The 13,999-nt window shown below is 46.9% G+C and overlaps 1 long non-coding RNA gene across 1 annotated transcript in view, besides 2 other annotated features; it reads left to right on the forward strand.

Annotated features, from left to right (window-relative positions):
• ERRFI1-DT (ERRFI1 divergent transcript) overlaps window positions 1-12,604 on the forward strand; it is a 100,578-nt gene extending 87,974 nt beyond the window's left edge. Inside the window, exon 3 of the long non-coding RNA NR_185980.1 lies at window positions 7,008-12,604. This is a non-coding gene — a long non-coding RNA (ERRFI1 divergent transcript). The remainder of the gene's footprint in view (window positions 1-7,007) is intronic.
• Window positions 1,128-1,628: an enhancer, noted in NCBI's record as "H3K4me1 hESC enhancer chr1:8175654-8176154 (GRCh37/hg19 assembly coordinates)". NCBI's record gives its function as "activates a minimal SCP1, AML or CMV promoter by ChIP-STARR-seq in primed H9 embryonic stem cells {active_cell/tissue: H9 hESC(primed)}" and the evidence as "EXISTENCE:reporter gene assay evidence [ECO:0000049][PMID:30033119]".
• Window positions 6,641-6,950: an enhancer, noted in NCBI's record as "active region_100". NCBI's record gives its function as "activates an Ori minimal core promoter by ATAC-STARR-seq in GM12878 lymphoblastoid cells {active_cell/tissue: GM12878}" and the evidence as "EXISTENCE:reporter gene assay evidence [ECO:0000049][PMID:35858748]".
• Window positions 12,605-13,999: the final 1,395 nt, after the last annotated feature.

Genomic DNA, 13,999 nt, shown 5'->3' on the forward strand with positions numbered 1-13,999 from the left:
AGCACTTTGGGAGGCCGAGATGGGTGGATCACCTGAGGTCAGGGGTTTGAGACCAGCCTGGCCAATATGGCAAAACGCTGTCTCTTCTAAAAATACAGGCATTGGCCAGGCATGGTGGCACATGCCTGTGATCCCAGCTACTCAGGAGGCTGAGGCAGGAGAATCGCTTGAACCTAGGAGTTGGAGGTTGCAGTGAGCCCAGATGAGATCATGCTACTGCACTCCAGCCTGGGCAACACAGCGAGACTCTTGTCTCCAAAAAAAAAAAAAAAAAAGAGCACATATAGACCACAGAGTATTTTTAGGGCAGTGAAGACACTCTGTATGATACTATAATCAGTGGATTTATGTCAATATGCATTTGTCCAAATTCATAGAACATATAACACCAAGAATGAAACTAATGTGAACTGTGGACTTTACTTAATAGTGCTGATTGGCTCAGCAATTGTAACGAACATGCCACACTCATGCAAAGTGTTAATAACAGGGGAACTGAGTTGGGGCATATGGGAATTCTGTACTTTTGGCTCTGCTTTTCCTGTACACCTAAAACTATTAAAAAAATAATAAAGTCTACTAGTTAATTAAAAAATCAAGGCTGGGTGCAGTGGCTCACACCTGTAGTCCCAGCACCTTGGGAGACCAAGGCAGGTAGATTGTGTGAGCCCAGGGCAGCACAGCAAGACCCCATCTCTATAAAAAATTTAAACATTAGCTGGGCATGGTGGTGAGCCCTTGTAATTTCAGCTACTCAAGAGGCGAAGGCGCAAAGATAGCTTGAGCCTAGGAGTTTGAGGCTGCAATGAGCTATGCACACGCCGCTGCACTCCAGCCTGGGCAACAGAGTGAGACCCTGCCTCAAAAAAAAAAAAAAATTCAAACAGCACAGAACTAGTATATGATGTGAACATCTTAGGCCATTATTGGGCACCGAAGAGGCTTTGGGTTGCATTTCTTCACTCATCAGCATGGGTAAATCATTGCAGAGCTTGAGTGTGGACACCACCAGGGGAAACAAGGTTGGGAGTAGCAAGGAATATGGGAAACAGAGACAGTGAATGGGACCTGATAGTGAATAGAGCCGGCTCAGCCGGCCTCCCGGCCTGACAGTGAATAGGCTGGCTCAGTTGGCCTCTGGGCCTGACACAGTCTATGTGTCTTAATTTTTTTCAGTAGCCCCAGTGTTCAGAGCTTGCTGGCTGTGATGTCACACTTTCCTTGATGATGGGATTGCAGTCATCCTCGCGCCTACCTGCCTGGCTGCAGGAAGCTCTATTCACTTCTAGGCTGTTCTCCCCAGGGCCACTTCCTTGTCTGCAAATCCATGTGAGCCAGCCCTTGTGCTCTGATTCCAGACTTCACCTCCTGGATTCCTGCAGGCTACCTCTGCTGCTTCCCAGACCTTTCCCTCCCATCCCTCTCGGGGTGAGCTCTGACCAGGCAGTAACTTTCAGCAGGACACCGCTGCACGCTTTGGAATCACAGAAGGCAATGACACCACAGAATGTAACACTGGATGCCAGACGCGCCTGCCTGTGAGTCCCAAGGCCTGAGTCTCTTTGGAGAGTCGGTTCCCCACTGGTGCCTCTGTGCATGCCATGGCCGGCCACATGTGGGACGATACAGATGACACGTGTGTCACACCAAGGCAGGATCAGAAGAATGTTTGAGATTTCAGAAAAAAAATTCAAGAAGTCATTATGGGAAGACCAGAACTTTGAGGGGTCAGAGTTGTTGGCGCTTAACCTCTTAAATTTTAGTTTACGATATTAAAAACTTAGAGGGCGGGTGAAGTGGCTCATGCCTATAATCCCACACTTTGGGAGGCTGAGGCAGGCGGATCACTTGAGGCCAGGATTTCAAGACCAGCCTGGCCAACATGGCGAAACCCCGTCTCTACTAAAAATACAAAAAATTCGCCAGGCGTGGTGGCGCACATCTGTAGTCTCAGGAGGTGAGGCACGAGAATCACCTGTGGGAGGCAGAGGTTGCAGTGAGCCAAGATCGCGCCACTGCACTCCAGCCTGGGTGCCAGAGTCAAGATTCTGTCTCAAAAAACAAAAACTTAGAGATTCCTTGTTTCTCTTTTAAAAAGTCAGATGGTGTCGTGACAGTGTGCATTGGCACCAGGTGTCTGGCGCTGGGCAGGGCTGTCTTTTCGGGCAGATGTGCTCTTTTGAGCTCACCAAGGCCCCTCCACGCCCCACAACCTGGATGATGACACCATCTCATTTTTTAGGCTTCATATTAAGGGCATTGGGTGTTCCCAATTAGCAGGTTGCGCTGGTGGCCAAAAGTATTTCTCAATCACGTAGAGTTTTTCTGGGACCTTCCTTGTTCATGGCTGAGTAAAAACAGGCCCTACCATCTAATCATTTAGACTCTCCTTTTGTGCCCTTTCTGCCCCAGGGTCTTGGAATGTGAAATTCCTTGAACAGCCATAAAAACCATAAAGTTGAAACTTTTCAATATCAATAGAACAATCAGAAAGGTGCCTTTTCTGGGTCTGTTTTAGAGTTGACTCAAAAACACAAATTCTAATCCCGCAGAGAACTGCTTGTGTTGAAATATTTACAGAAGGTCAGGGGTTTCTCCTCCCGCCTGGAGCAGAGAAGTGAAGCTGTGGGCCGTGGTTGAGCGAGGCTGGCCTCTCAAGCCTTGTTTATTCTGGAAATAACTTTGGAAAATGCCTCATATGGTTCCCCAGAGGCCTGGAGGTGGGCCTGTACAGTTCACGACAAACGAAAACAAACCATTCCTCTGCAATGTTTAGCAGAATTTATTAAAAAGATCTTTTTTAGAACTTCTAGACAGAGCTGATGGACTAGAAATGAACTTGCAAGTGTGAGGAAGTCACTCCACGGAGTGACACACACGCAAAATAAATAAATAAATAAATAAATAAATAAATATATAGTTCACCCAACTTTGTAACTGATTTAGATGGTGGAAATTTTGTAAAGTCCACCGCAGCACAGCAGTTTGAAAGAGACACTTGTTTGTTTTCATCAATCCCCAGAATGAAATCATTCCCCGAGGACCGGGTTAGCTGCTTCCTTCCCGGCATGGCCCTGCCTCTTTAAACTCATTCCCGGGGGGGACGAGACTGTTGCCTGATGCAGCAGGGGCAGCCAGCAGAAGCACTCCTGGCTGCTGGATGAAGAAACCTTTACATCCCAGGATCCCCCTCTGAGATCAATGAACAGATGGGTTTTCACAACAAGCTCTGTCTCAAGGCAAGCCTTATGTACGTTACCGACCGTGGCCGTGATGTCCAGCCTGCAGCATCTTTTTTTTTTTTTTTTTTTTTTTTCTGAGACGGAGTCTTGCTCTGTCACCCAGGCTGGAGTGCAGTGGCGCGATCTCGGCTCACTGCAACCTCCACCTGCCGGGTTCAAGCGATTCTCCAACCTCAGCCTCCTGAGTAGCTGGGACTACAGGCACCCGCCACCATGCCCGGCTAATTTTTTGAATTTTTAGTAGAGACAGGTTTGCACCATGTTGGCCAGGATGGTCTTGATCTCCTGACCTTGTGATCCACCTGCCTCAGCCTCCCAAAGTGCTGGGATTACAGGCATGAGCCACCCGCCTGGCTGCATCTTTTGCATTCCTAGACACCTGACTCATGGAGCATTTATGAGGGCCTGGTTGCCTCTGAGGGTCTCATGCTTTTTGTCAGCCTCTCTCTCTGCCATTACTCTGATAAATCTCCCCCCTCTGCCGCTCTGTTCTCCTGAAGGGACCAGTTCTAGGACCTGGTGTAGGGTCTGTGGGACCCAAAGTTCACCAATGAGTTCTTCCTTGAGATTTTTTAAGCAGGACCTCGGAGAGAAAATCCACGTTCCTCCACACTCTTGGAATTTTTAGGGCGTGGGCCTGGCGGCTGTTGATAGACAGGGCTCCTGCGGAGGAAAGCCTCTAAGAAGCCTCAAACCCCAGCAGTCCAGCTGAGACCATTGTGTTGTCCCAGTGTGTGACAGTGAGGGGACACTCAGGACACACAGAGTCGTGGTGGAGCGAAGCTTCTGGGCCCGCACCCTCCTCATGTGAACACTATGTCTGCCTTTCCTGCAGTGTGCTCACCTGGGCCTGCACGGAGCTCTTCTCGCCTAAGCTGGTTTGAATTCAGTTGGCATCACTTACAATGAAAAGGGTCTTAAAGATAAATATGCACATCAGTGAAATGCTCCTTTATGGTCTAAAAAAGAAGGTCAAACTTTCATGTTGATAAGAATTATTTGAAATTTGAGGCCGGGTGCGGTGGCTCACAGCTGTAATCTCAGCACTTTGGGAGGCCGAGGCGGGTGGCTCACCTGAAGTCAGGAGTTCAAGACCAGCCTTGCCAACCTGGGGAAACCCCATCTCCACTAAAAAATATAAAAATTAGCCGGGCATGGTGGCACATGCCTGTAATCCCAGCTACTCAGGAGGCTGAGGCAGGAGAATCGCTTGAACCCAGGTGCTGGAGGTTGTGGTGAGCCAAGATTGCGTCACTGCACTCCAGCTTGGGCAACAGAGCGAGCCTCTGTCTCAAAAAAAAAAAAAAGAAAGAAAAGAAATTTGAATGTGTACATCTAGCCAATGATGGGAAAAATCTAAAAAAAATTAAATACAAAGTGCACATCTTTGGTCTGGCTGCAGATTTATTCATTGCAGCTTTTAAAAAGTTTACATTCTTTTCCAAGTATAAAACCCTTTTTAAAAAAATGTTGTAACGATATTATTGTGACAAGTGTTGGCATTTATTGAGTGTTTACTATGTGCCAGGCACTACTTTATATTTGCATTGGCTCTTTTCATCCTCACAGAAACCTGTGAGTCCCTACTGTTATCTCCCTCTTTTTGTAGATGTGGAGACTGAGGCACAGAAAGGAAAGGTTAAACGGTTTCTCCCGAGTTACACGGCTAGTAAGTGGCAGAGGTGGGACTTGAACCCAAGTGCCTCTGCAAAGTTCAGGGACTGGGCTTTGAATATAGAAATATTTAGTAAGTATTGAAAACCATTAAATTTATTTCACTATGACAATCTTATTTATGACCGAATTATCCATTTTTAATTTTTATTTGTTTATTTTTGAGATGGAGTCTCACTCGGTTGCCCAGGCTGGAGTGCAGTGGCACGATCTCAGTTCACTGCAACCTCTGCCTCCCAGGTTCAAGCAATTCTCCTGCCTCAGCCTCTCGGGTAGCTGGGACTACAGGCAAGCACCACCAGACCCAGGCAATTTTTGTATTTTTAGTAGAGATGGGGTTTCACCATGTTGGCCAGGCTGGTCTTGAACTCCTAACCTCAAGTGATCTGTCCACTTCAGCCTCCCAAAGTGCTGGGATTACAGGTGTCAGCCACCGCGCCTGGCCCATTTTTAATTTTTAAAAAATGTTTTTTACTGTCGAGTAGGGGTTCAGGACAGACTGCCCCCAAATATGCCACTTTGGAATGTTGGTGATTTTGAGCAGAAAGCACTGGAAAACAGTAAATGCAGAGACATGGTTTCCCTGAACTCCTCTCATCTGCCCAAAGGCAGAGCCTCCAAAAGGACATCAGTTGTCCTAAGTCCCCTCCCCAGGAGTCAGCAAGGGCTGCCTTAACATCCGGACAAACTGCCACAAACCCTCGTATCTCCCATCTAGTCTTCTAAAGGCCCATTTTTCTTTCCTAAAAATCATTTCCTCTCCTCACGGTAGCCCACATCTCCTCTCCCTTTTCTCTGTTAAGATGGCATCACTTTTTTGTGATATTGTTTTTTTCTTCCTATGATGGCCCCTGTGCACATATTAAAAATTAATAAATTTGTTTACCCTTTTTCCTGTTAAATCTGTGTATTGTCAGTGTATTTCCTAGACCCAGCTATCGAACCTAGATGGTAAAGTCTTTCTTCCCCTGACTCTATTTCAAAGCAATAAAAAAGTTTAAAATGCCCCAAAAGACATAGTTTACTCTATGATTGGATTATTAGAAGACGTTAGCCCAGGGAGGTTCTACTCTGTTTTTCAGGGGTGGAGCTGGTACTAGAATTCACAGCCTGGTTTTCATCCCAGCTGGGCCATTCCACAAATGGAACTTTAAACAAATACTTCTCCTCGAAGTAGAAGCTGGGTTGGGGTCTGGTCTTGAAGGATGGATCTGAAATGGCGGAGGAGAGCCTGGCGAAGCCCTCCGGCCTCCTTCCCAACGGGTCCCAGCTTTTTGCCACTTCCCTACCTTGTATTTGGCTACTAAGGAATCTAATCTGTCCAGTTTTTTATCTTGGTCATCCATAGTGTTCTATAGATCACATAGAAAGATGGTTACAATGTTCAGCACCTCTTGCTAAACATCCTGTCCTGGAGGCACATGGAGAAGGTTGACAAAGCCTCATTCCTCTGAAACATTTCATGCAACGGATTTGGTTGAAACCCCAGATTGTGATCTGGAGTCTTTAGCAACTGTGCTCATTTCCTACCTTGAGCATTTCATTTTTGAGCAACTAGAATAACAACTGGTCTTTTTTAGTCTTGACCAAAGGGGGATAAGGGAACCAAAAATCCTTTGCTCCTCGTTTCCTGTTAGATTGTGAAACAAAAAGGTAAACATTTAACGGAATGTGGCAGCTCAGAACAATTACCCCTATTGTGGCATGAACACTGATTTCTATTCCTTTTTACACAAACTCCTTCCGGTAGAGAAGCTGAACAAAAGAACGTGCCAGCCCAGCCCGTGGGCTCCTCAGGCCGATCAGATCGGGAAGTGAGAAACGCCGGCAGAGATTTGCTCTGGGAAAGTTTGTAGACATTTTCAAAGTCAAGGGTGAAGTGTCCTTGGTTTACTTAGAATCGTTTTCTTTAAAGGAAATCACTGTCACAACTTCAGAAGCCCCGACATGCCTGTGTAGTTATGAGAAGGGATGAAGGCTTCGCATAGCTTCATAACCTTGTTATTAAGAGTCTGGAACTCAGTGACTGGCTGGGTGCTTGACCCTTTGTTCAGTAGCCTTGGCAAGTGCTCTCATTTTCTTCCTTTTTAGGTTTCCCCACTGCGAGCCCTTCGAGAACAATGTCATGTTGATCGATGGCAGTGACTCACACCAGATCTTTCCATGCCTCCTCTGCAAGGACTCAAGAGAGTCGAGAGCAAAACCGTGCCATAGTTCCATAAGGAGGGCAAAGAGCTTTATCCACGCTGAGGAACAGGCGGATCATGCGGCTACAGCACTGGTCTTTACCTTTTAACTGCTTGATTCGAAACATTCCAGCCAGGAACAGTGGCTCACACCTGTAATCCCAGCACTTTGTGGGGCCAAGGCAGGTGGATTGCTCGAGCTCAGGAGTTCGAAACCAGCCTGGGCAACCTGGCAAAACCTCATCTCTACAAAAAAATACAAAAATTAGCCAGGCCTGGTGTGTGTGCCTGTGGTTCCAGCCACTCGGCAGGCTGCGGCCAGAGGATCACTTGAGCCCAGGAAGTGGAGGCTGCAGTGAGCTGAGATCGTGCCGCCACACTCCAGCCTGGGTGACAGAGCCAGACATTGTCTCTAAAAAAAAAAAAAAAAGAAAAGAAAAGAAAGAAAAAAGAGAAATAGTCCAAGACTAGGGAGAAAACCTTCTTTGGGGTCAGTGTGAACCATTCTTTCATTTGTTCAGCAAATGCTTACTGAGGAGCTACTGTGTCCCTGAAATTGCCTCCACCTCCAAGAAGACAGTGGTGAGCAAGTCAGACAATACCTCTAATCTCATGGTATTTATAAGTAAATGGGCCGTTAAAATTACCAGATCAGAAGTGCTGTGTTCAGCAAATAGAGGCTCATGGGAAACTCCTAAGAAGGGCTTCTGAGCTGGACTTGGGGGTCAGGAAAGGCAGAATGAGGGGGCTGACTCATCCAGACTGGGGCGGGGTTGCCGGGGGTGCCTCCCACTTACTATCTGTCTCCTTCTAGACTGACTTCTCTGTCATCATGAATACACCCCTTTAAGACATACATTTAAGAGAAAATAAGAGGATGCCTTATTTATTTAAAGGTTTGTTACAGTTTTACTAACAACCACATACCTAAAGGAAAGTCGCAAGTAGAGCTCAAAAACTTTTTTCTCTGGGGCAGTGAAGAGTCAGTTGCCAGCCAGAAGGCCCACTGAGCCTGAGCACTTCAGGGTGTGCTTCCTACAGATAAGGACATCCTCCTGCATAACAGGAAAGGGGTCCTGATCCAGACCCCAAGAGAGGGTTCTTGGATCTCGCACAAGAAAGAATTCCGGGTGAGTCTGTAAAGCGAAAGCCAGTTTATTAAGTAAAGGAGTAAAAGAATGGCTATTCCATAGACAGAGCAGCCCTGAGGGCTGCTGATTGCCCAGTTTTATGGCTGTTTCTTGATGATATGCTAAACAAGGGGTGGATTACTCATGCCTCCCCCTTTTAGACCGTAGAGGGCAAGTCCTGATGTTGCCATGGCGTTTGTAAACTGTCATGGAGCTGGTGGGAGTGAAGCAGTGAGGATGACCAGAGGTCACTCTCGGCACCATCTTGGTTTTTGGTGGGTTTTAGCCAGCTTCTTTACTGCAACCTGTTTTTTCAGCAATATCTTTATGACCTGTATCTTGTGCCGACCTCCTATCTCATCCTGTAAATTAGAATGCCATTACCATCTGGGAATGCAGCCCAGTAGGTCTCAGCCTTATTTTACTCAGCTCCTATTTAAGATGGAGTCGCTCTGGTTCGAACGGCTCTGATATAACTGCTGCTCAGCCATTGACGTCGGGAAGGTAGCACAGGCTCATTGCCACCACTGAACCCTCAGACCCCACCCAAGTGTTGCCAGTTGTTCCAATAATGTCCTTTATGGTGAAAGGACCAGATCCATGGTCACATATTGCATTGAATTGTCACGTCTTCTTCTTTAGTCTTCCCTCGACCTACATGACCTTGCCATTTTTGGAGATAATAGTTTAACAGTCCAGTGGGTTCACCTTGCCCGCTGCCTAGACAGAGCTGGTTGATCATGACAGGGGAGTTGCAATGGACAATGGAGAAAGCGTAATTCACACAGAGTCGACTGTGTGGGAGACCAGAGTTTTGTTAATACTCAAATCAGTCTCCCTGAGCATTTGGCGATTAAAGTTTTTAAAGATAATTTGGTGGGTAGGGGCTTGGGAAGTGGAGAGTGCAATGGAGATGGAATCACAGGGGGTCGAAGTGAGTTTTTCTTGCTGTTTTCTGTTCTTGGGTGGGATGGCAGAACTGGTTGAGCCAGATTACTGGTCTGGGTGGTGGTAGCTGGTCCACTGAGTGCAGGGTTTGCAAAATATCTCAAGCACTGATCTTAGGTCTTACAATAGTGATGTTATTGCCAGGAGCAATTTGGGGAGGTTCAGACTCTTGGAGTCAGAGGCTGCATGACCCCTAAACTGTAATTTCTTGTTTTGTTTGTTTGTTTTGTTATTGTTGTTTGGTTTTTTTTGAGACGGAGTTTCACTCTTGTTGCCCAGGCTGGAGTGCAATGGCATGATCTCAGCTCACCGCAACCTCCACCTCCCAGGTTCAAGCAATTCTCCTGCCTCAGCCTCCCAAGTAACTGAGATTACAGGCATGTGCCACCACGCCCGGCTAATTTTGTATTTTTAGTAGAGATGGGGTTTCTCCATGTTGGTCAGGCTGGTCTTGAACTCCTGACCTCAGGTGATCTGCCTGCCTTGGCCTCCCAACGTGCTGGGATTACAGGCATGAGCCACTGCGCCTGGCCAGTAATTTCTAATCTTGTAGCTAATTTGTTAGTCCTGCAAAGGCTGAGTGGTCCCAGGCAAGAAGGGGGTCTTTTTGGGAAAGGGGTTTTATCAATTTTGTTTCAGAGTCCAACCACGAATTGAATTCCTTCCCAAAGTTAGTTTGGCCTATGCCCAGGGATGAACAAGGACAGCTTAAAGGTTAGAAGCAAGATGGAGTTGGTTAGATCTGATTTCTTCCAGTGTCATAATTTCCTGAGTTATAATTTTGCAAAGGTGGTTTCAATAGGACACTTGCTTTGTAGCCTGCACTTTGGTTTTCATTTCTCTGATGTGCCCTCACGGTTAGGGCCAAGTGATGCATCTTTAGTGGGAATAGCTCAGGAGTAGTGCGGTCTTCTTATTGTATTATAACACATGCGGTGGCATTTGTTGGCTCAGCTTCTACACTGTAAAGTTGCTCTTTTTGCCTCTTAATGAATATGTATCTTGAGGGAGATACTAAAAAAAATCCCTTTCCTCATCAAATTCTGCATGTGTTCAGTATGGATTCATGGCTTTCTATTTTATCCACTAGGTTATAATCTGTTGCCATCTTTATTTTAATACTCAAATTCTCCCATATTCAGTGACCACCTCAAGCTGACTTCTGTATCCTTTTGACACATCTCAGTCATTCTTTGAGCACTTCCTTTTTTGCTGAGATGGGTACATGTTCTAGGCCCACCCTGTGCTTCCCCTGTCTAGTCTGGAATCAGCCGTTTCTCAAAGGAGCTTTTGGTGGAGAATGGTGTTTAGAAACCAAGATCTGGATAGCAGGTGTGCTCGCTGTGATTGGGCTATTGCTGCTCCCAATCCTCTAGATAGCCAGAACAACAACATAAAAACATGTATGTTTGGCTGGGCACGGTGGCCGATGCCTGTAATCCCAGCACTTTGGGAGGTTGAGGTGGGTGGATCACCTCAGGTCAGTTTGAGACCAGGCTGACCAACATGGTGAAACCTTGTCTCTACTAAAAATACAAAAAAATCAGCAGGGTGTGGTGGTGCATGCCTGTAATCCCAGCTACTTGGGAGGCTGAGGCAAGAGAATCGCTTGAACCCGGGAGGTGGAGGTTGCAGTGAGCCAAGATCATGCCACTGCACTCCAGCCTGGGCGACAGAGTGAGACTCTGTCCCCGAAAAAAAAAAGAAAAGTATGTTTATTTCTGTATGTTTTTACTCACACCAAAATACCTTCAATTCCAGCCCAGTACCACAGGACTTATTCTAGTTTTCTCTCTTTTCATATTTGTATCTCCTTTCTCTGACAGTGAGACCATGGCTCCCATTATTCTAAGTATACTGACTTATTTGACTAATCCCCTGTAGATGATCAGTCTCTCCTGCCTTCTCCCCCACCACATGTGGACACCCTCCTCACCCTGCCTGGCCCTGACACCCCGTGCTGGGTCTTCAACATGCACAGAGGCCCTCCTGACCCCACTCGGGCTCTGATCTTCCACACCAGACCACCCCTTCACACGGGCCCCCTCCTCCCACATTTGGGCTCCGAGTCCCCAGGCTGAGCTGCCCTTTACCTTGCTTGAACTCTGACACCCCATGCCAGGTCTCGGCCTTGCGAGGACACCTTTCTCACCTTATGCTGGAGCTCCCTGGCACAGACTGCCTTGCACTGTGCTGGACTTTGCCTGCTGCCTGGATGCACTCCTCACCATGCCTGGGCCCTGAAATCCCACTGCAGGCCATTCTCACACATGGATGCTTTCCCTACCCTGCTTGGGCCCTCACTCCCATGCTGACTCCCTCTCCCCCATTGTATTAATCCATTTTCATGCTGCTGATAAAGATATACCTGAGGCCAGGCGCAGTGGCTCATGCCTGTAATCCCAGCACTTGGGAGGCAAAGGCGGGTGGATCAACTGAGGTCAGGAGTTCGAGACCAGCCTGGCCAACATGGTGAAACCCTGTCTCTACTAAAAATACAAAAATTAGCTGGGCATGGTGGCAGGCGCCTGTAATCCCAGCTACTTGGGAGGCTGAGGCAGGAGAATTGCTTGAAACTGGGTGGCGGAGGTTGCAGTGAGCCTAGATTGCGCCATTGCACTCTAGTCTTGGGGACAAGAGTGAGACTTCGTCTCCAAATAAATAAATAAATAAAAATACATACCTGAGACTGGGCAATTTACAAAAGAAAGAGGTTTAATGGACTTACAGTTCCATGTGGCTGGGGAGGCCTCACAATCATGGTGGAAGGTGAAAGGCATGTCTCACATGGTGGCAGACAAGAGAAGAGAGCTTGTGCAGCGAAACTCCCCTTTATAAACCAGATCTTATGAGACTTATTCACTATCATGAGAACAGCACGGGAAAGACCTGCCCTCATGATTCAGTTACCTCCCACCAGGTCCCTCCCACAACACGTGGGAATTCAAGATGAGATTTGGTTGGGGACACAGCCAACCCATATCACCCATGCCTGGATGCCCTTCTCATGCTTGGGTTCTGTCATCTGCACCAGGCCTTCTGCTGCCCGTCTGTCTTACCCACCAGGACTCTGACTCTCCACGCTGGGCCACCTCTCTTCTCCAACACTGCTATGGATTGAATGTTTATGTTCTCCCCAAATTTGCATGTTGCAATCCCAATCTCCAATGCCATAGTATTAGGAGGTGGGGGCCTTTGGGAGGTGATTTGGTCATGAAGGTGGAGTCCTCACAGCTGGGATGAGTGTCCTTCTATAAGAGGCTCCAGTGAGCTCCCTCGCCCCTTCCACCATGTGGGGACACAGCGAGAAGATGCTGTCTATGAACCAGGAAACCGGCCCTTGCCAGACACTGAATCTGCACTTTGATCTTGGACTTGCAGCCTCCAGAACTGTGAGAAATAAATGTCTATCGTTTATAAGGCACTCGGTCCATGGTATTTTTGTTAAAGCAATCTAAACGGACTAAGACAGACACCTACCTTGCTCTACCAACCCTTCATGATATTAGAACTGAATTGTTCAGGAAGGAACAAAAAGGGAAGGGAAAGAGAAAGGGAAACAGAAAGGAAACAAGAGGAAGAAGAACGTGAAGTAGACAGGGAGACCATTTGCTTTTTCTTAGCTTCCCTTTTTTGTTATACCCTATTATCTGTCATCATATCAGACCTCACGTTACATTGCACAGGCGCCCCCAGCTTAGCCACCTTCCCCATCCCTCTCTTCTGTTCACACTTCCACTCCTCCATCTCCCTCCTTCCCCAGATCCAATGATCTATCCATCTTGGCCTCAGCCCTCTTGGAATCAGCTCCAGAGTGTGCAGGTCTGGACTGTCCAGTTTGTCAGCCTCATTGAGAACCAGTTATCTGAAAAGAATGAGGAATTTTAACTTCTCTCTAGAGGATAGTGAAGACATAGGACATGTGATACCTCAGATGTAATACCCTGTGATTATGAGACTGTTTCTCTGCAAGGGCAAATAGAGATAAACATGTCCTTTTAAGGTTTTTACCAGTTTTTAAAATGATAGCTAGCATTAGTATTTATCTTTTTTTTTTTTTTTTTTTTTTTTTGAGGCAGGATCTCCCTCTGTCGCCAGGCTGGAGTGAAGTGCTACAGTCATAGCTCACTGAAGCCTTGAACCCCTGGGCTCAAGCAATCCCCAAGGTTCCTGCCCCAGCCTTCCAAGTAGCTGAGACTACAGGTGTGTGCCACCACACCTGGTTAATTTTTATTTTGAATTTTTTTATAGAGAAGGGGTCTTGCTATTTTGCCCAGGCTAATCCCAAACTCCTATCCTCAAGCAATCCTCCTTCCTTGGCTTCCCAATGTGCTGGGATTACAGGTGTGAGCCACTGTGCCCAGTCTAGTATTTCTCTTTGATTCAGATCGTTTTCATTTCAGTAAGTGTAGATATTCATTACTTCAGTATTATATCAATTCAACATTCCTAAAACTAATTAAGAATGTTGGAAAAAACACAACTAAATTAATACTAAGACTTACTACAGACTCACTTTTTATTTTTATTTTATTTTGTTTTTGAGACAGTCTGTCACCCAAGGTGGAGGGCAGTGGTGTGATCTTGGCTCACTTCAACCTTTGCCTCCTGGGTTCAAGCAATTCTCCTGACTCAGCCTCTTGAGTAGCTGGGATTACAGGTGCCCACCACTATGCCTGGCTAATTTTTGTATTTTTAGTAGAGCCAGGGTTTCACCATGTTGGCCAGGCTGGTCTCGAACTCCTGACCTCAGGTGATCCACCCGCCTCGGCCTACCAAAGTGTTGGGATTACAGGCGTGAGCCAGCACACCCGGCCTA

The sequence above is a fragment of the Homo sapiens genome, chromosome 1, assembly GCF_000001405.40.
Source record: "Homo sapiens chromosome 1, GRCh38.p14 Primary Assembly".
Classification (NCBI taxonomy): Eukaryota; Metazoa; Chordata; class Mammalia; order Primates; family Hominidae; genus Homo; species Homo sapiens.